Source organism: Homo sapiens, chromosome 15 (assembly GCF_000001405.40).
Source record: "Homo sapiens chromosome 15, GRCh38.p14 Primary Assembly".
Classification (NCBI taxonomy): domain Eukaryota; kingdom Metazoa; phylum Chordata; class Mammalia; order Primates; family Hominidae; genus Homo; species Homo sapiens.
The window spans coordinates 24,250,345-24,270,405 of record NC_000015.10 but is presented as its reverse complement, the minus strand read 5'-3'; the positions used below and the strand labels follow the sequence as shown (position 1 = coordinate 24,270,405).

At 40.2% G+C, this 20,061-nt stretch overlaps 1 long non-coding RNA gene; it reads right to left on the bottom strand.

The window, feature by feature from the left end:
- Positions 1–20,061, bottom strand: part of LOC105370733 (uncharacterized) — a 440,742-nt gene that overhangs the window by 272,016 nt on the left and 148,665 nt on the right.

Genomic DNA, 20,061 nt, shown 5'->3' with positions numbered 1-20,061 from the left:
GGTAAACAGTATGGAGATTTCTCAATGAACTTTTAAAAGCAGAGCTACCATTCAATCTAGCAATCCCACCACTGGGCATGGACCCAAATGAAAAGAAGTCATTCTATCAGGTGCCACTTCCAGTCTTCCTGACCCCGCAATTCGGGGGTTTCAGGCTCGGGACAAGTGCAGGGTTCTCCATAAAGGCAGCCTCGGTGGTGGACCCGACCCCTTGCAGCCCCACACAGAGGGAGCGGAGGGGCGCGTTCTGCAGCCTGCTGCACAAGATAAAAGGCAAATTCCACCTGGTGAGCAAGAGGCCCATGTGGCAGCTCCGCTGGGGCTGGGGGAGTACAGGCGAGAGTGGCTGGCGGCCTGGCGCATATGTGTCAGTGGAGCACATGCTCAGAAAACTGGGGCAGACAGGCAAAGGTGTTGGTCGCACAGACTTTGGTTCAGGGGGTCAACACACTGGCCAGGGATGTGGCCCATCACCTAGTCTCTGGAAGCACTTTGTGCTCCTCGCTCGGCTTCCTGTTACAAATCATGACAACATATTTCAGAGGACTTTGGGGAAATTCGCCCTCTTGGCACCGTCAGGTTGGTTCTTGGTGGCATTCCGCCGGGGAAGGGAGGAAGTGAGAAATCCGGGTTAAGTTAGGTGTTGCTGCCCAGCGGGAGACCCGAGTCTGCCTTCTTCCTGGGCCTGAGTGAAGTGACATGGCCATTGCCAGGGCTGGGGTCCAGGGAAACCTGTTTCTGGTGTCACTGTGCTCTGCACCAAGTAGAGAGAAATGTTTTTAAGGAGTTGACAACTCCTGAGAAAGCATTTCAGTGGTTACTGGAGGACTTGCACTCTGGAAATGCAGAGAACCCAGGACTGCTGCCAGGATTAACTAGGTGACTACACACGAGAGGGCAGACAGAGCCTGGCTCATTTCAGTACTCTGCATGGGTTATTTGCCACCATCAGCTGTGATGGGAACATGTGGTGATTGCTTCAGGAGATGACAGTGGCCCTGACGAGTCTGAGAATGGGAGGTCCCAGATCAAGGCGCCAGCAGGTTTGGTGTCTGGTGACAGCCCACTTCCTGGCTCATAGTCAGCGGGTTTCTCTTGTGCTGGCATCTCTCTCACTCCTAGGCTAGGCTCCTTCTGCAAACAATTGTTAGCTGCCAACCCCTAAGGGCCAGACAATACATTTGCAAATTACAACCTGGCACACCCAAGGTAGCAGGAGGAGAAAGAGCAACTTTTTGTCTTGGAAGCCAAGCTTCGTTGTTGGCTGGCACCCAATGTGCATTTCAGGTTTTTATGGTTCCTTGTCTGAGGTTATTGTAGCTGATTCCCAGGGTATTCTAATCTAAGAAGCAGTGAGTGAGCAGTGACTTAGAAGCAGTCAGTGAGCCTGAACTTTGCTAACTGGAAGGACTGGCTGTTCCCTTCCCTTGCCTTCCAGTCTCTCTCCCTGACTGCCGTGTACAAGACAGCCCCACCTGAAATAACTGAAGGCACTTCAGTTCTGTGTTGCTTTTCCTTGGAAAACATGGGTAAGATCTTAAAAAGATCCTGGAAGTGTGTCTCTGTGGCATGCATCGAGGTACGTATCCTTCCTTGAGGTGTGTTAGTTTCATCTTTCAGTACTCAGAGTTGTCTCCATAGTGCCAGGGAGGGAGGAGGTGCCAAACCCTGTGCTCAGCCAGGATGCCCTGGCCTGGCCACGCCTTCTGAGGCTTCCACAGACCTAAGAGGGACTAACAGCTGGAGTCAAAATGTTCCTGTCACTGACGCCCTGCTTCCGGAAAGGAGATCCAGAAGGAAAAAGAAAATATGTTGGGACATTTTTTTTTTTTTCTTAGCCACATCCTTTGGGGGTTGGGGTGGGACAAAATAAACGTATGTTCAAGAAGACAGTCTATGCTGAAAATGACACACAGTGTAACCACCTAGTGGGTTCACCTTGCCTGCTGCCTAAAAGAGTTGATTTATCAAGACAGGAAAATTGCAATATAAAAAGAGTAATTCACGGAGAGCCAGCTGTGCAGGACACTGGAGGAGTTTTATTATTACTCAAATCAGTCTCCCAGGACATTCAGGTATCAGTGTTTTTAAGGATAATTTGGTGGGTGGGGGAAGGCTAGTGAGTTGGGAGTTCTGATTGGTCAGATCAGAGATGGAATCACAGGGAGTCCAAGCTGTCCTCTTATGCTGAGTCAGTTCCTAGGTGGAGGCCACAAGATCAGATCAGGCAGTTTATCCACCAGGGTTGTGCCAGCTGATCCATCAAGTGCAGGGGCTGCAAAATACCTCAAGCACTGATCTTTGGAGCAGTTTAGGGAGGGTCAGAATCTTGTAGCCTCCAGCTGCATGACTCCTAAGCCATAATTTCTAATCATGTGGCTAATTTGTTAGTCCTACAAACACAGTCTAGTCTCCAGGTAAGAAAGAGGTTTGTGTTGAGAAAGGGCTGTTACTGTCTTTGTTTTAAACTATAAACTGTAGAGTAAGTTCCTCCAAAAGTTAGTTTAGCTTATGCCCAGGAAGGAACAAGGACTGCTTAAAAGTTTAGAAGCAAGACAGAGTCATTTAGGCAGCCAGGTGCAGAGGCTCACACCTGTAATTCCAGTACTTTGGGAGGCAGAGGCAGGTGGATCACTGGAGGCCAGGAGTTCTAGACCAGCCTGGCTAACAAGGCAAAACACCATCTCTACTAAAAATACAAAAATTAGCCAGGTGTGTCACGCCTGCAGTCCCAGCTCCTCCAGCGACTGAGGCACAAGAATTCCTTGAACCCAGGAGGCAGAGGTTGCAGTGAGATGAGATTGGTCCACTGCACTCCAGCCTGTAGGACAAAGTGAGACCCTGTCTCTCTCTCTCTCTCTCTCTCTCTCTCTCTCTCTCTCACACACACACACACACACACACACACACACACACACACAGTCATTCTACCAAAAAGGCACTTACACTTCTAGGTTTATCACAGCACAATTCACAATTGCAAAAATATGAAATCAATCTAAGTGCCCATCAACCAATTAGTGGATAAAGAAAATGTGGTGTGTGTGTGTGTGTGTGTGTGTGTGTGTGTGTATGTATATTACAGAATACTACTCAGCCATAGAAAAGAACAAAATTATGTTTTTCAAAGCAATTTGGCCATTATCATAATTGAAGTAACTCAGGAGCAGAAAACCAAATACTGCAGGTTCTCACTTACAAGTTTGGGGTAAGCAATGGATATGCAGGAGCATGCAGAGGGGGATCATGGACATTAAAGATTCTGAAAGGAGGAGGGTTGGAGGCTAGTGAGGGGTAAAAAATTACCTATGAGGTAAAACGTACACTATTCAGGTGACAGGTACACTAAAAGCCCCAGACTTCACCACCATACAATTCATGCATGTAACCAAAAACTACATGTAATCCCAAAGCTATTGAAATTTTAATAAATTTATTTCAAAGAAAAAGCAGTGGTGTATGATTCTCCCAGTATTGAGTGTGTGTTGTATATACTGACTTTTTTTAATACACACAACATGAAAAGGGAGAAAAAGAATAATTTTACAGAAGAGATTTTTAGAACGAAAAGATTTTTATCCAGGTGATCAAATTAACATCAACAGTGATAAAGCCTGTTGACAGCTTGTGCCCTGGATATTATGTGATAGGAATGGTACTTTTCATCTATATTCTTCCTCCCTTAAGCCCAGAAGTCCAGTCTCATCATGAGAAACATCAGAGTAATCCTAAATTAGAAATGTCAATGGCATCAAAAACAAGGAAACTCTGAGAAACTATCACATTCAATGGAGCCTATGAAGCCAAAATATCTAAATGTGATGACGTATCCTGGAAGAGATCCTAAAACATAAACTTAACATTAAGCAAAAACCAAAAAATCAGAATAAAGTATGTATAGTACTCAATGACAATACATGAGATTGGTTGGTTAATTTTGACAAAGGTTTCACGCTATGAGATTAATAATAAAGGACACTGTGCATGGAGTATATGGAAACTCTCTACTAGATTTGCAACTATTCTGTAAATGTAAAACCATAGAACCATTTTTTGTTGTTGTTTTTGTTTTTTGTTTTTTTTCTGAGACAGAGTCTCCCTCTGTTGCCCAGGCTGGAGTGCAGTGGCATGATCTCGGCTTACTGCAACCTCCGCCTCCTGGGGTCAAGCGATTCTGCTGTCTCAGCCTCCAGAGTAGCTGGGATTACAATCGTCCACCACCATGCCAGGCTAATTTTTTGTATTTTTATTAGAGACAGGGTTTTGACATGTTGGTCTCGAACTCCTGACCTCAGGTGATCTGCCCGCCTCAGTCTCCTAAAGTGCTGGGATTATAGGCGTGAGCCACTATGCCCGGCTTTGGAAAACCATTCTTTAAAACTTGTTTTTGTTGTTGTTGTTGTTGTTGTTGTTGTTAATGTCACTCCCAAGCTTAAAAAAACAAATCATTAGCAATATTGTTGATACCTCCTTTGTGCATCTCCTTAATTTCTCAGTTTTCCTTAAGCACTGAACTTAACTATATTGTGAATTGTCATTCCATACTTTAAAAATAGTTTTTCCTCTTTGAGTATTTCTGAATACTATATTCTTCAGGTCATTTTGTCTTCAGATTTAAGTGAAGGTGTTTAATTCATTAATATTCCTAGTTTAATCATGAGAAAACATCAGCTGAAACCACATCATGGGACATCCTATTAAATACCTGACTGGTGCTTTTCAAAAGGGTCAAGGTCGTGAAAAAGAAGTGAAGGCCAGGAAACTGTTTCATATAGGAGAATACCTGATGTGTCAGGTAGACTCTAAGTTGGTGCCCATTTATCCCCACCTTCTCACATACAGAACCTTCTACTGTAATCCCATCCAAGTGAGTCTAAGCAGGAATTGAGACTTGCTTTGAAACAACAGAATAGTGCAAAGGTATAGAAGTGTCACTGGGATTCTTATATATGATTATGATTTTGGTCTTCCTAGAAATGTCTCTCTCGATGGATTTTATGAAGCCATGTGAGAGAAGCCCCCTTGGCAAGGCACTTTATTTAGCCAATGGCCAACAGCCAAGAAAGTAAGAGGCTTTTGTACAATAGACTGTTCTACAGTTGGAAATACTATATTTTAAACTAACCATACTGCCCAAAGAAGTTTACAGATTAAATGCCGTTCCTACGAAACTACTAATGACATTCTTCACAGAACTAGAAAAAAAGTGTGTTAAAACTCATATGGAACCAAAAAAGAGCCCCAATAGACAAGGCAATCATAAACAAAAAGAACAAAGCTGGAGGCATCATGTTACCTGACTTCAAACTATACTACAGGGATAAAGTAACCAAACAGCATGGTGCTGCTACAACAGCAGGCACATAGACCACCTGAACAGAATAGAGAGCCTAGAAATAAGGCCGCACACCTATCACCAACTGATCTTTGACAAAGCTGACCAAAACAAGCAATGGGGAAAAGACTCTCTAATCAATAAACGGTGCTGGGAGAACTGGCTAGCCATATGCAGAAGACTGAAACTGGACCCCTTCCTTACATCATATACAAAAATTAACTCAAGATGGATTAAAGACTTAAATGTAAAACCCTAAATTATAAAAACCCTGGAAGACAACCTAAGCAATACCATCCTGGATATAGGAATAGGCAAACATTTCATAATAAAAACTCTGAAAGCAATGGCAACAAAAGCAAAGATTGGCAAATGTGATCCAATTAAACTCAAGAGCTTTGCAGAGCAAAAGAAATTATCATCAGAGTGAACAGACAAACTATAGAATGGGAGAAAATATTTGCAAACTATGCATCTGATGAAAGTATAATATCCAGCATCTATAAAAACTTAAACAAATTTACGAGAGAAAAACAAACAACCCCATTAAAAAGTAGGCAAAGCACTGGGCGGGGTGGCTCATGCCTGTAATCCCAGCACTTTGGGAGGCCAACGTGGGCGGATGATGAGGTCAGGAGATCGAGATCATCCTGGCTAACATGGTGAAACCCTGTCTCTACTAAAAATACAAAAAATCAGGCAGGTGTGGTGGCATGCACCTGTAGTCCCAGCTACTAGAGAGGGGAAGACAGGAGAATTGCTTGAACCCAGGAGGCAGAGGTTACAGTGAGCCGAGATCGTGCCACTACACTCCAGCTTGGGTGACAGAGCGAGACCCAGTCTCAGAAAAGAAAAAAAAAAAGTAGCAAAGGAGAAGAACAGATAATTTTCAAAAGAGGACACACATGCGGCCAACAAGCATATGAATAAAAGCTCAATATCATTGATCATTAGAGAAATGCAAATCAAAACCACAATGAGATACCATCTCACACCAGTCAGAATGGCTATTATTAAAAAGTCAAAATAACAGATGCCGGTGAGGTTGCAGATAAAAAGGATCACTTACACACTGTTGGTAGGAGTGTAAGTTCATTCAACCATTGTGGAAAGCAATATGTCAATTCCTCAAAGAGCTAAAATCAGAACTACCATTCAACTCAGCAATCCCATTACAGGGTATACACCCAGAGGAATACAAATCATTCTTCCAAAAAGACACATCCACATGAATGTTCATTGGAGCACTACTTACAAGAAAAAAGACATGGAATCAACTTAAATGCCCATCAATGACAGGATGGATAAAGAAAATGTGGTACATGTGTATCATGGAATACTATGTAGCTGAAAAAAAAGAATGAGATCATGTCTTTCACAGGAACATGAATGGAGCTAGAAGGTATTATCCTTAGCAAACTAACACAGGAGCAGAATACCAAATTATCACATATTCTCACTTTTAAGTGGGAGCTAAATGATGAGAACTCATGAACACAAAGAACAGAACAAAGGACACTGGGGCCTACTTGTAAGTGAAGGGTAGAAGGAGGGAGAGGAGCAGAAAAAGTAAATATTGGGTAGTAGGCTTAGTACCTGGGTGATAAAATGATCTGTACAATAAACCTCCATTACACAAGATTACCTATATAACAAAACTATATGTGTATCCACAAACCTAAATTTAAAGATATAAAGTTAAAAAAATCAAAATCATATAAAAACTATAAAAAATAAAAAAACTAAACTGAGCTACCTTTCAAATAAAGTTATATTGCTTCACAGTTACTGTATCTTATAATAACAAATAGTCCTAATTCCTTTCTCCTGTCCTTTGCATTATTGCTGATATCCACTTCATATATATGTGTATATATATACATGTATACACACACATACAAACACACATGCACATGTGCATATATCTGTACACATATATACTTAAGATATGTACATAAGATATATACATAGGCATATATTATTTAACAATTTTTCAATTTTTTCAAGAAACTGTTTTCTCTTATAATAAACTAAGTATAAAAATGTTACACCAATAAAAAGTTAAAATTATATATAACTGATATTTTTAGAAATACGAGAGATGGAAAAATGTAAAATGCTTAATGAGAACCACAAAAGGCAGAAAATGAATGGAAGATGAAAATAGGAAGAACGAACAAGGACAACAAATCGAAAACATTGACAAATATGATAAATATTAATCCAACTGCATCGCTTACCACTCTGAATGTCAGTGGTCTAACTGCACCAAGTAAAAGACACAGATTTACAAAATGAATCAAAAAACAAGACACAACTGTTATTTATAAGCCCAACCCAAATATAAAGACAAATAAAAGTAAATGAATGGAACAAAATGTACAATGCTAACTCTAATCAAAGTAAACAAGAGGAGCTATATGAATTACAGGCAGAGCAGACTTCAAAGCAAGAAAAGTTATCAGGAATAAAGAAGGGCATTACATAGAGATGAAGAGCCATTCTTCCAAGAAGATGTCCTAATTCTTAAAGCCTATGAGCCTGATAACAGAGCATAAACTATGAGGCAGAAATCAACAGAACCACAAGGAAAAAGATGAATTCGGTATTATAGTTGGAAACATTAACACCCTATATCAGATACGGACAGATCTAGCAGGCAGTAATTCAGGAGCGAAAAGCTGAACTCAACAGCACCAACAAGCAACTGGGCATAACTGACACCTACAGTCTCCTTCCCTCAACTACTCCAGAGGACACATTCTTCTTAAGCTCACATGGAATATTCAGCAAAATGTGCCACATTCTGGGACAAAAAATACCCCAACAATTTTTAAAAAGTAAATCATACAATGTCAGCTCTAAGACCACAGTGGAATTAAAATAGAAATCAAAGGATGACTGGAATGATAACTGTAATATCCCAAAATGCATTGAGATTAAACAACACACTTCCATATAACATATTGGTCAAAGAAGATATCTCCAGCGAAATTTTTTTAAATTAACTAAATGAAAATAAAAGCACAATTTATCAAAATTTGTAGGATGAAAGGAAAGCAGAACATATAGGCAAATAAATACCATTGAACACATATATAGGAAATGACGAAAAGACCAAAAATCTGTCATCTGTGTTTCTACCTTTGGAACCTAGAAAAGGAAGAATATATTAAATCTAAAGTCAGTAAAAGAAAAGCGATAACGTTGTTAACAGACTAAAACAAAGGAAAAGTTAAAGCAACTGGATTTTTCAAACACATATTATCTTAATAGTTCTCAGAACACAGAGGCACCCAAAATTAACAGGGCAAACAAAGCACCCCAACACCCCCCTTGCTTACGGGCATGCAGCCATGACCCCCTCAGAAATGGGAACCTCAGGATTTAGAAATGATCAGTCTCGGGCTACTGAGGCCGGGCAGTATCATTTCCTCCGAAGTCACGCTGTACATTTTAGAATAGCTAAATAATAGATTTTTAGTGTTCTCACCATAAAGTATTAGCTGGTGAGTTGATGCCCATGTTAATTAGCTTGATTGAATCTTCCCCAATGAATACAAGAATCAAAATATCACACTGTTATCCATAAATATACGCAATGTGTCAACTAAAAATAAAAGTTTTGGTAAATTCTTTATCGATGAATAATTCACAAATAGGAAACGTAGGTAAGTAACAATTATGTACATAATATAAAAGGGCATATGTGACAGAAAGAAAGCTTTTTAAATGTACGTTACGGTCTGGGAAACACGGAGAAATCCTGAGGTTTGAAGAAGAACAAACAGGGACGACGACACAGGCAGGCACCGCCTCAGGAACAAGCGCGCTTCGCAGAGAAGCGACCAGAAAGCCCAACGCAGACCCCTCAGACATCCGCCCTGAGTTCTCCTGTAGATCTCACCGCCCTCTCCCCCTGTCAGCCGCGCCTTCTGATCACCGCCCTCCACCTTCCTCCCTCACTCCCTGTCAGCCTCGCCCTCCACCCGCGGCCCTCACGCCCCACGTGGGCCTGGCTCCCGCCCCCAAGCCCAGCCTGCGCGGCAGCCTCCGGTTCCCCTCACTGCGCAGCTGCGACCCCCGCACCGGCACTTCCCTTCAGGCTGCTCCCACCATCACCTGTGTGGGCGCCAGGTGGAGAGGAGCCTGCAGATCCGAGTTTTCTCCTCCATGGATCCCACCTACACCTCCAAAAGGATTGAGGGGGCAGAAACCTGCACTGGCGGGGAAGTGAGGGTCTGAGCGATGGAGAAAAGGCGGCGAACAAGGGCAGCCCCATGAGCCCTGCAGTCAGGCAGCCGGGGGTCCTCTTTGCTCTTCTCCACCCTCGTTTCTCCCAGACCCACACCCCACTGACCTAGCCCAGGAGCCTCCCCAGGGGACAGGGCCCACTCACTCCTCAACGTCCTTCCCATAGGCTGAGCTCATGGCCTGGGGTAACATCTCAGGGAACCAAACCCAGACATTCGAATCCCTCCCCACAGAGCGCAGTCCTCAGGGAGCGGCCCTCCCTGCCTCCCCTGCCCAGTCCCTCCATGGTCTGCCCTTCCTGCTCCTGCGTCCTCACCAATTACTCATCCCAGCGCTCCTTCCAATCCACCGACCTCTTCTCATGGCCTGGCCTGTGCCAGGCACACACATTTTCCTCATCGCTTTCCCTCCCGTCTCCTGGACCCACTGCGCCTCACTCTCCAGCATCTCCTCCAATGTTCCTCCTCCTGGAGGCTTCCCCTGTCCATCCCATCCAAGGCCTGAAACCTGTCCTCTCAGTTCCCAAGGGCAGCTCTTCCACCTTATAGTTTAATTTTTGTCAAGTTTTCTGAAACCCTATTGGACAGAAGCATCACAGAACATGGCAACTTTGTCTATGGTGTCTCTGAGCCCCACACATGTCCTGGACAAAAAGCAACTCTGAAAATTCTCTGGTAATCTATAAAAGTATAAATCAGTTTTAAAAGATTATTATCTGATAAAAGAAAATAAATTGAAGTTCCCACTTCTTTTCTACAGACGATAATCGGAAAACATTTGCTGTGTGGAGTTGTATGCACAAATTTTCGGAGTGGCGTTTTTCTTTTTAACTGAAGAAGCAATTTTGGTATTTACTCATCAAAGAGTAAGAGAAGAATACACACCTATATTATGAGCCATAAGTATAAGGAAATGTCTTGCAGACGTTTACAAATACTATGTAGAAGGAATCAGAGATTCAAGCCAGTATCTATAAATTTCAGGTAAAAGAAAAACAATATGCTGAAGTTTATTCGTGCATATTAACAAAATAACTGGTCTTTGTGTGCTGGAAGGGAGTCTTGATATTCCATCTATTCAAATTAATGCTTTTGAACCTTGCAAATTAGAACAAACTAAGCCATGTACAAAACCCTTTTTAAGTATGAGTCTCTAGCAAATTTTGTCTTGTGGTTCCCAGCAAACTTTCTGCACCTCTTCAACTAGGAGTATTTCAGATGAAATTTGTGGAAAACAATGATAGACAATGGGTGATATTTCCATTAATTTAATAAAGAGTGATAAAATATTAAAACAAAGATATTTTGAAAAATGATTATAATAATTAAACAAAAAAAGGCATTAATACACACTACAAAAATTTAAATTTGGTCATACATGTTTATGTGATGATAAAAGTACGTTGACACAGAAAGTGTCAAAGGCCTTTGCACACCAAAACAAACACTGTTTCATTTGTTGAAAACAAATACTGTTTCATTTGTTGAAAACAAATACTGTGTCATTTGTTTTCAGACAGCAAACAGAATGATTCTTTGACACACTCAGTCTTTCCAAGAAATAACTGAGTTCCCCAACCAACACCAGAAGTAGAGCAAGAAAATGTTCGTGTTTCCCATGAAGACACCACAGAGACAGGCTCAACTCTCCTGCCTCTACTTAGGCACTGTCTTGGATAGGCGTGGTCTGGAGGAGGTAAACCTTGTCTAGTGAGTTGTCTGTGTTTGTGCAGGAAGCACCCAGGGATGTTTGTTTTGTAAAAATACAAAAGTATACATTTGGTTGTACATGATGGCTATGTGACCAAGAAGAGAGTGTTTTCTTTGTGCTTAATACACAAGTTTTAAACACACTTGTACACAAAACCAAAAACCAAGATGTAACATTACAGTGCCAGGACTCAAGGGGAAATGTGCCATTGGTCAGAAAGAAGAATGATTATTTAACAAATTCATGCTTATATAAAATAACTGAATTCCCCACCCCACCCAACAGGGAGCTCCTCCCCTTGTGCATGCAGACCCCACAGAGAGGTTCTGAGCTCAGAGGCTCCCTGCTGGTCCTGCCTTTGATGTGCATCGTCTGGAGGAGGAGACCCATGTCCACAGCATCATCTACAGCAAGGCAGGAGGCACCCGGGGCTGCATCTCCAGGTTTTCCCACCACTTGCTGTTGTTGAAGGTATGAAATACATAAACTGAAGAGTGGTGTTCACGGATCTTATAAGATTAACAAAGACATTACAGACATAAGAGACAACAATGATATTCTGAAACTCTAAAGCCTCTGATTAAAAGTCCAGCTGAGAGTAGTGGTGTAGGTGAAAGGCATGGAGATTTTTAAACTTCTTTCACTTCATTATGGAAAAGCACAGTCATTAAGAGAATGGTCACTAAATTATTGTATTAAATGAAGTCTGTTAGCAACTAAGAAAGTGTTGCATTTGCACAGAGACAGAGGAATAAACCAATGAAAAAAGAAAACAGCATAAATACAGACATGTATATATGAACAAATCATTTGTAAGTCAATAAATGGGGACAGATTAATTTTTCTGAAACTATTAAAAAAACTTAATATTCACAAGGGAATTAAAATCTGACCTTTAACTTCATTTTACACACAAAATCAGGTGGATCACAGACATATATATATATTTAGTACACTAGGTAGAACACATAAGAAAATATCTTCGGGACTATGTGGTAGGTAAGATACCTGAAACTGGACCTAAAAAGCACTAATTATATAATAAACTATTCTACATATTCTACATAGTTGACTTGAGCAATGACTTTGGATACAGACTGAATCAAACTCAAAGCACTTTTAATCCTTTCATGTAGTGCTTAGTCTCAGATTCAGAACTGGCCCGTGGCAGTGGTAAAAGTGCTCACCTCTTGAGATGTCAGTTGGGTTTGTATAAAATAATATATAAAGCATGTAGTATAATATCACATCTATACATATCATTAAGACTAATTTTTATAATAAATTGTGAGATTTATCTTTTAGATTTATATATCAGAATGAAATAATAAAACCACTAATAATGGAGCAAATATTTCTAATTAGATTTTTATAATTATTTTATAAACTTTTCTCGACTAACATGTTTATATTTGTCTTATATCATTCCTGTGATTACATGAGACAGAACATATATGCAAAATACATTTACAAAGGTACTGCTAACACTTATTTCATTCAGAACAAACTCTCTGAATCACTTTCAACTCATCTTGTCCATGATTTTCCCCACAATATCATCATCTGTGCTAATCACAAGCATCAATGTTGCTGCATTTCTCATGGGACTCCTATACTACTCTATGCAAGTTTATCTTTCCAGTCTCCTGACACCCTTCTGTAAGTTTTGATGCTTGATGTAATTGCCCAAAGATGTCTTTGGGGAGGTTTAGACCAAGTTCATGTGTGTGTGCCTGAGGACAACCACATCATGACTGCTTTCTGGCAATAATGTTATAACCCTTTCAAACAGAAGATGCATCTCTCTTTAAAAGATGTTAAAATGTGTACCAAAGAATTGTTTACACACTTTTTCTCTGTGACTGCCTACTTCTCAGTGTTAAATCATGGTGGCTGAGGCAGGAGAATCCCTTGAACCCTGGGGGCGGAGGTTGCAGTGAGCCCACATCGCGCCACTTCACTCCAGCCTGGGCGAAACAGCGAATTCCATCTCAAAAAAAAAAAAAAATCATGGTGGCTAATGTGCTATATTTTAGTTTGTTATTAAGGAAACATTGTTGTATATCTTTTCACATTAATTTACCAATTCCATTCACATTCTACTTAGTTATTAGAAATATTAGACTTATTAGTGAAGTGCTGTAATTGTTTTATAAACTATGGTTCAAGAAATCTATTGATGAGGAAGATATAAATTGTAGAGAGACACTTGAAATTTTTCCTGAAGTGTTAGTTTTCTAAAGACTAAGGAAAATCTATATTAAAAGAATTGTGTCCTAAAGTTAGAAATATAAGCAATGATCCCTGCAAGCTATATTACAAATTCAATTCTTTAATCTATAACATTCTGGATCTCTGTTTTTCTTCATTCTCATTCACCCTTTTAATCACACAAATGGCTAAGGCTGAAGTCTCCCCTGAAGGCTCACCTGGGGAAGGATCCTCCCCAGGCTCACATGATTGTTGTTAGGATTTAATTCCAGTTCCATGTTAAGATGACTTCACTAGGAAATTATTTCATACTTTTAAAGAATTAATACAAATTCATTACGAATTCTCTAAAAATATTAAACAACAGCAATGACAGCGGTGAAGAGATCACGTCCCAATGCACACTATGAGGTACTTTATCCTCATACCACAATTAGACCAAAACATTTCAAGAAAGGAAAATAAGACCAATATGCCTTATGAATAAAGAGGCAAAAATCCTTAAGGAAATAATAGCAAAACAAATTAGCAACATGCAGAAAGTATTATACACTATGACAAAGGGTATTTCCTCAGGAATGCAAATTTTGTTCAACATACAATTCATGCACTGTATTAATGGATTAAAGCACAGAACCTACACGATCATCTCAAAAACACAGAATGAGCACTTGACAAGTCAAAAACACATTCATGATAAAGATATGCAGCAAATTAGAACTGTAAAGAAACTGTCTTCACTTTAAAGCATTGAAAAAAATAAAAACCCTCACATGATATAAAAGTTTTCTGAAAGGCTCAATACTTTCTCCAAGATTAGAAATAAGACAAGGAATTTCATTCTGGCCACATTTTTTCCCCACATTATGCTAGAGGATGTAGCAAGGACAACTAGTCTAGAAAAATGAATATAAGACATCTAGTATAAAAGAAAGTAAAACTCTCTTGGCAATTGACATGATTTGTGTATAGAACATCAAAATGACTCTAATAAAATAGAATGCAAATTAAAATATAAGTTCAATACAGTTCCAGTACACAAGCTCAGTATATAGAAATACATACTTCTATATACTAGAAATTAACAAACTTAACAAAAAACTCAGAAACCCATGCTATTTAAAATAGCATCAAAAAGGAAAAATACATAAGAATAAATTCAACAAAATATGCATACGACATGTATATTGAAAATTGTAAAATACATTAAATGTAATTAATAAAATTATATAAAAACAGACAAATGTTGAATGATCACTGATTAAAAGGCTTGATATTATTAAGTTGAGAATACTTTTTATATAGCTCTACAGATTTAATGCAATTTCCATGAAAATCCCAGGTGACCTTTTTTCACTAACTTGTCAGATTTTAAATTGTATATATAATGCAATAGAGAAGAGTTAAAATAATTTTGAAAAAAAACAGAATTTGTAAAATAGACCCATATTTTCTGATTTTAAAACTAAGACAAACCATACTAATTCATATGTATGGTGTAGACATACAGATAAATAGAATAAAATTGAATATCAAAAAGTTAACCTTTACATTTATGGTCAAATAATTTTACAAGGGCTCCAAGTAAATTCAATATGGAAAAGTATTTTTTTCATCAATGGATTCTGGGACAAGTCGACATCGTCAACATCAACAGGCAAGTTAAACTCCTCCCTCACAGTATATGCATAAATAGTTCAAATTAGTCACTGATATGGTTTGGACTTGTGTCCCTGCCCAAATCTCATGCCACATCGTAATCCCCAATGTTACAGGAGGGGCCTGGTGGGAGGTGATTGGATAATGGGGGAAGATTTCCCCTTGCTGTTCTCATGACAGTATGTGAATTTTCATGAGATATCGTTATTTAAGTGTGTAGGACCTCACCCTTCTTTCTCTTCTTCCTTCTCAGGCCATAAAAGATGTGCCTGCTTTCCCTTCTTCTTCTGCCATGTTTGTAAGCTTCCTGAGGCCTCCCCAGCCATGTTTCCTCTACACCCTCAAGAACTATGAGTCAATTAAACCTCTTTGCTTTATAAATTACCCAGTTTCAGGTAGTTCTTTATAGCAATACAAAAACAGGCTAATACAGAAAATTGCTACTGGGAGTGGGGCATTGCTATAAAGATAGTTGAAAACGTGGAAGTGACTTTGATACTGGGTAATGAGCAGAGGTTGGAACAGTCTGGAGGGGTCAGAAAAAAATAGGAATATGAGGAGAACTTTGGAACTTTCCAGAGACTGGTTAAATTGTTGTGATCACAATGCTGATAGTGACATGGGCTATGAAGTGCAGGCTGAGGTGGTCTCAGGTGGAGATGAGGAACTTATTGGGAACTAGAGTAAGGGTCACTCTTGTTATGTTAGGACAGAGACTGGTGGCACTGTGCCCCTGCTCTAGGGATCTGTGGAACTTTGAATTTCAGACTGATGATTTAGGGTATCTTGTGGAAGAAACTGCTAAGCAGCAAAGCATTCAAGATGTGGCCTGGCTGCTTCTAACAGTGTATTGTCATAGTGTGAGCAAAGTGATGCTATGAAACTAAAACTTATATTTAAAAAACAGGCAGAGCATAAAAGTTTAGAAAATTTGTAGTCCAGCCATTTTGTAAAAAAAGAAAAACCTGACCAGGTGCTGTCGCTCATGCCTGTAATCCCAGCCCTTTGGGTAGCTGAGGTGGGCAGATCACAAGGTCAGGAGTTCAAGAGCAGCCTGGCCAATATGGTGAAACCTTGTCTCTACTAAAAATACAAAAATTAACTGAGCGTGGTGGCACATGCCTGTAGTCCCAGCTACTCAGGAGGCTGAGGCAGAAGAATTACTTGAACCTGGGAGGTGGAGGTTGCCGTGAGCTGAGATCGCACCACTGCACTCCAGCCTGGGCAACAGAGTGAAACTCTGTCTCAAAAAAAAAATAAAAAAAAAAAGAAGGAAAACAAAAAAAGAAGAATCCATTTTCTGGGGAGGAATTCAAGCCAGCTGCAGAAATTCGCTTAAGAGGAGCCAAATTAGCCGGGCGCGGTGGTTCACGACTGTAATCCCAGCACTTTGGGAGTCTGAGAAGGGTGGATCACGAGGTCAGGAGATTGAGACCATCCTGGCTAACACAGTGAAACTCCATCTCTACTAAAAAATACAAAAAATTAGCCTGGCATGGTGGTGGGTGCCTGTAGTCCCAGCTGCTCGGGAGGCTGAGGCAGGAGAATGGCATGAACCCGGGAGGCTGGAGCTTGCAGTGAGCTGAGATCACGCCACTGCACTCCAGTCTGGGCAACAGAGCGAGACTCCATCTCAAAAAAAAAAAAAGAGGAACCGAATTTTAATAGCCAAGACAATAAGGAAAATGCCTCAAAGCCACTTCAGAAGCCTTCCAACAGCCCCTCCCATCATAGGCACAAAAGCCTAGGAGAAAATAATGGTTTCAAGGACCAAGCCCAAGGCCTCAGTGCCCTGTGCAACCTTGGGCCACTGATCCCTGTGCCCCAGCTGCTCCAGCTCCAGCTATGACTAAAAGGTCCCCAGATATGTATCAGGCCACTGCTCCAGGAGGTGCAAGCCATAATCCTTGGCAGTTTCCACGTGGTGTTAAGCCTGAAGGTACACAGAGGGAAAGAGTTGAGGCTTGGGAGCCTCTGCCTAGGTTTCAGAGAATGTATGGAAATGCCTCGATGCCCAGGCAGAAGTCTGCTGCAGTGATGGAGCCCTTAGGGAAAACCTGTACTAGGACAGCGCAGAGAAGAAGTATAGAGTTGGAGTCCCCACAAAGAGTCTCCACTGGGGGCCTAGTGGAACTGTGAGAAGAGGGCCACTGTCCTCCAGAACCCAGAGTGGTATATCCACCAACAGCTTGCATTATGTGCCTGGAAAAGCCACAGGCACTCAATGCCAGCCCTTGAGAGCAGCCATGGTAGCTGAGCCCTGCCAAGCCAGAGAGGCAGAGCTGCCCAAGGCCTTGAAAGCCCATCCTTTGCATCAGTGTGGCCTGGATGTGAGATGCAGACTCAAAGGAGATCATTTTGGAGCTTTAAGATTTAATGACTGCCCTGCTGGGTTTCAGACTTGCATGGGACCTGTTGTCCCTCTGTTCTAGCTGATTTATAACTTTTGGAATGAGTGTATTTACCCAATGCCTGTACCCCCATTGTATATTGAAAGTAACGACTTTGCTTTTGATTTTACAGGCTCATGGGTAGAAGGGACTTGCCTTATCTCTGATGAGACTTTGGACTGTGGACTTTTGAGTTAATGCTGAAATGAGCTAAGAGTTGGGTGACTATTGAGAAGGAATGATTGTATTTTGCAATATGAGAAAAACATGATATTTAGGAGGGGTCAGGGGCAGGATGATATGGTTTAGATTTGTGTCCCCTCCCAATCTCATGGCAAATTATAATCTCCAATGTTGGAGGAGGGGCCTGGTGGGAGTTGACTGACTCATGGGGGGTAGATTCCCCCTTGCTGTTCTTATGACAGTGAGTTATCACAAAATGTGATTGTTTAAAAGTGAGTGACACTTCCTTCTTCTATCTATTCCTCCTTCTCCAGCCATGTAACATATTCTTGCCTCCCCTTTGCCTTCCACCATGATTGTAAGTCTCCCCAGTCATGCCTCCTGTACAGCCTATAGAACTGTGGATATATTAAACCACTGTTCTTTATTAATTACCCAGTCTCAGGTAGTTCTTTATAGCAGTGTGGGAACAGACTAATACAATCATACACCTAAAAAGCCAAAACCAAAAACAAAAACAAATTGTTTAACAAAGGTTAAACAATGGTTTCCAAGATATGAAAACTAATACACAAGAGGAAGGAGAAAATAGATATATTGAAACATCACTAATAAAATATATCATAATTTAAAGTACATAATAAAATAGTAAAAACAATTTTAAAATGGGAGAAAAGTCTTTGTACGTCAAATAGTCAATAAGAATTTATAATCCAGAATATATTACAACATCTTACAACTCCAAAATCCAAAGGCAAATGCTCCAATCAAAAATAGTAAATTTGAACAGTCATGTCTCCAAAGAAGCTATAGTAATATTTAATAAGCATATAGAAAGATGCTCAATGCCTCTGTCATTAGGGAAATGCAAATCCCAACCATAAGATATCCTTTACTGATCCAAGGGGCATATTACTAAGTCCAAAAAGCAATTTTGTAAAAGCAAAATACTTTTTGTTTTAAAAAATGTATGACACTCTAGAAAGGGCATAAGGATGGAGACAGTATAGAGTTTACTGGTTACCAGGGTGTCAGCCAAAAGGAAAGACAAATCTGTAAAGACAGAAAATTTCTTTTTGTATAGCATTATGTATGCTACTGTAATGTGGATAAAAGATACAGTTTTTCAACTCCCACAAAACTTTATATCACAAAGAGTGAACCTAAAAGTATGTAAATTAACAAAAAAACTTATTTAGTAGATAGGAACAGACCAGGAAGAAATGCAGAGAAAATATACAAATCTATGAAATAATCCACTGGAGGAAGGGTAAAAAGAAGCTGACCTAAGCAACTGACATAAGTTATTCAGATTCTGTCTAAAGGCTAAAGGATTTATACATAAGCAGTTGGTATACATAAACAGGTGGTAACGGTGTTTATCATGGGGTTGTATGTTTCTTATTCCAAAACCACTATGCCTGCATTTTCAGGTGGTTAAATATTACACTGGTAGGCTACATACAGATAAGTGAGATGGGTAGACAGATTCACATGGTGCTAAATAAGATCGTGTGGGACTGAGGACGCTGCAGGAATTCATGTTTAATTTAATGTGGATACATATGGAGACTTGTAGAAATTTGTAAACATATGTGTGTATTTACTCTTTGCTCTGTTAGATAACAAGGCCTCCAATCAACACATTCCCCAGTAACAATGGGTACAAACCAGTGAGTGCCCAAATCTTCATTTTTTATTTCATTCTCCAACAAAAAAGGTAGGGGTCTGTGAGAAAAAGGTCAAATATAGACTTGAACAGGGACTAAATACAATTAGCCTGGAGTATCTAGTGGTGATCAAACAAGACAAAATGCTCAACAACAATGCAACCAATGAATCAGCCACATAACAAGCTCAAATCTTAAATATGGTGGTATTTCAAAATGACAAGGGACTCAATTGAAAGACTAAATGCTCTGTGTACATCCTGGATAACTCCAGAAACATATTCTCAGCCCTAAAAGACATGCACAAGCAAACTAATGCTATGTCTAATCTCATGATGTCTTTAAATCATATGGCTTTAGATATCTTCACTGCAGCCCAGGGTGGCACTTGTGCATTCATTAAGGCTGACCATTTTACACACATACACACACACACGCACACACATACACCAAATTATTCTCACAATATAACCCAAGCTATGCATGTAGATACCCATATTTCTGCTATAGATGCCCTCTCTCAGGACTCTATGGCATCATGATTTAGTCAGCTTCCTCGTGCATGAAATACTTTTATATATATTATTAAAACTGTTAAATGCCCTCTTCAGCTGCTATGAATTTTATTGCTGTTGTACACTCTGCATGG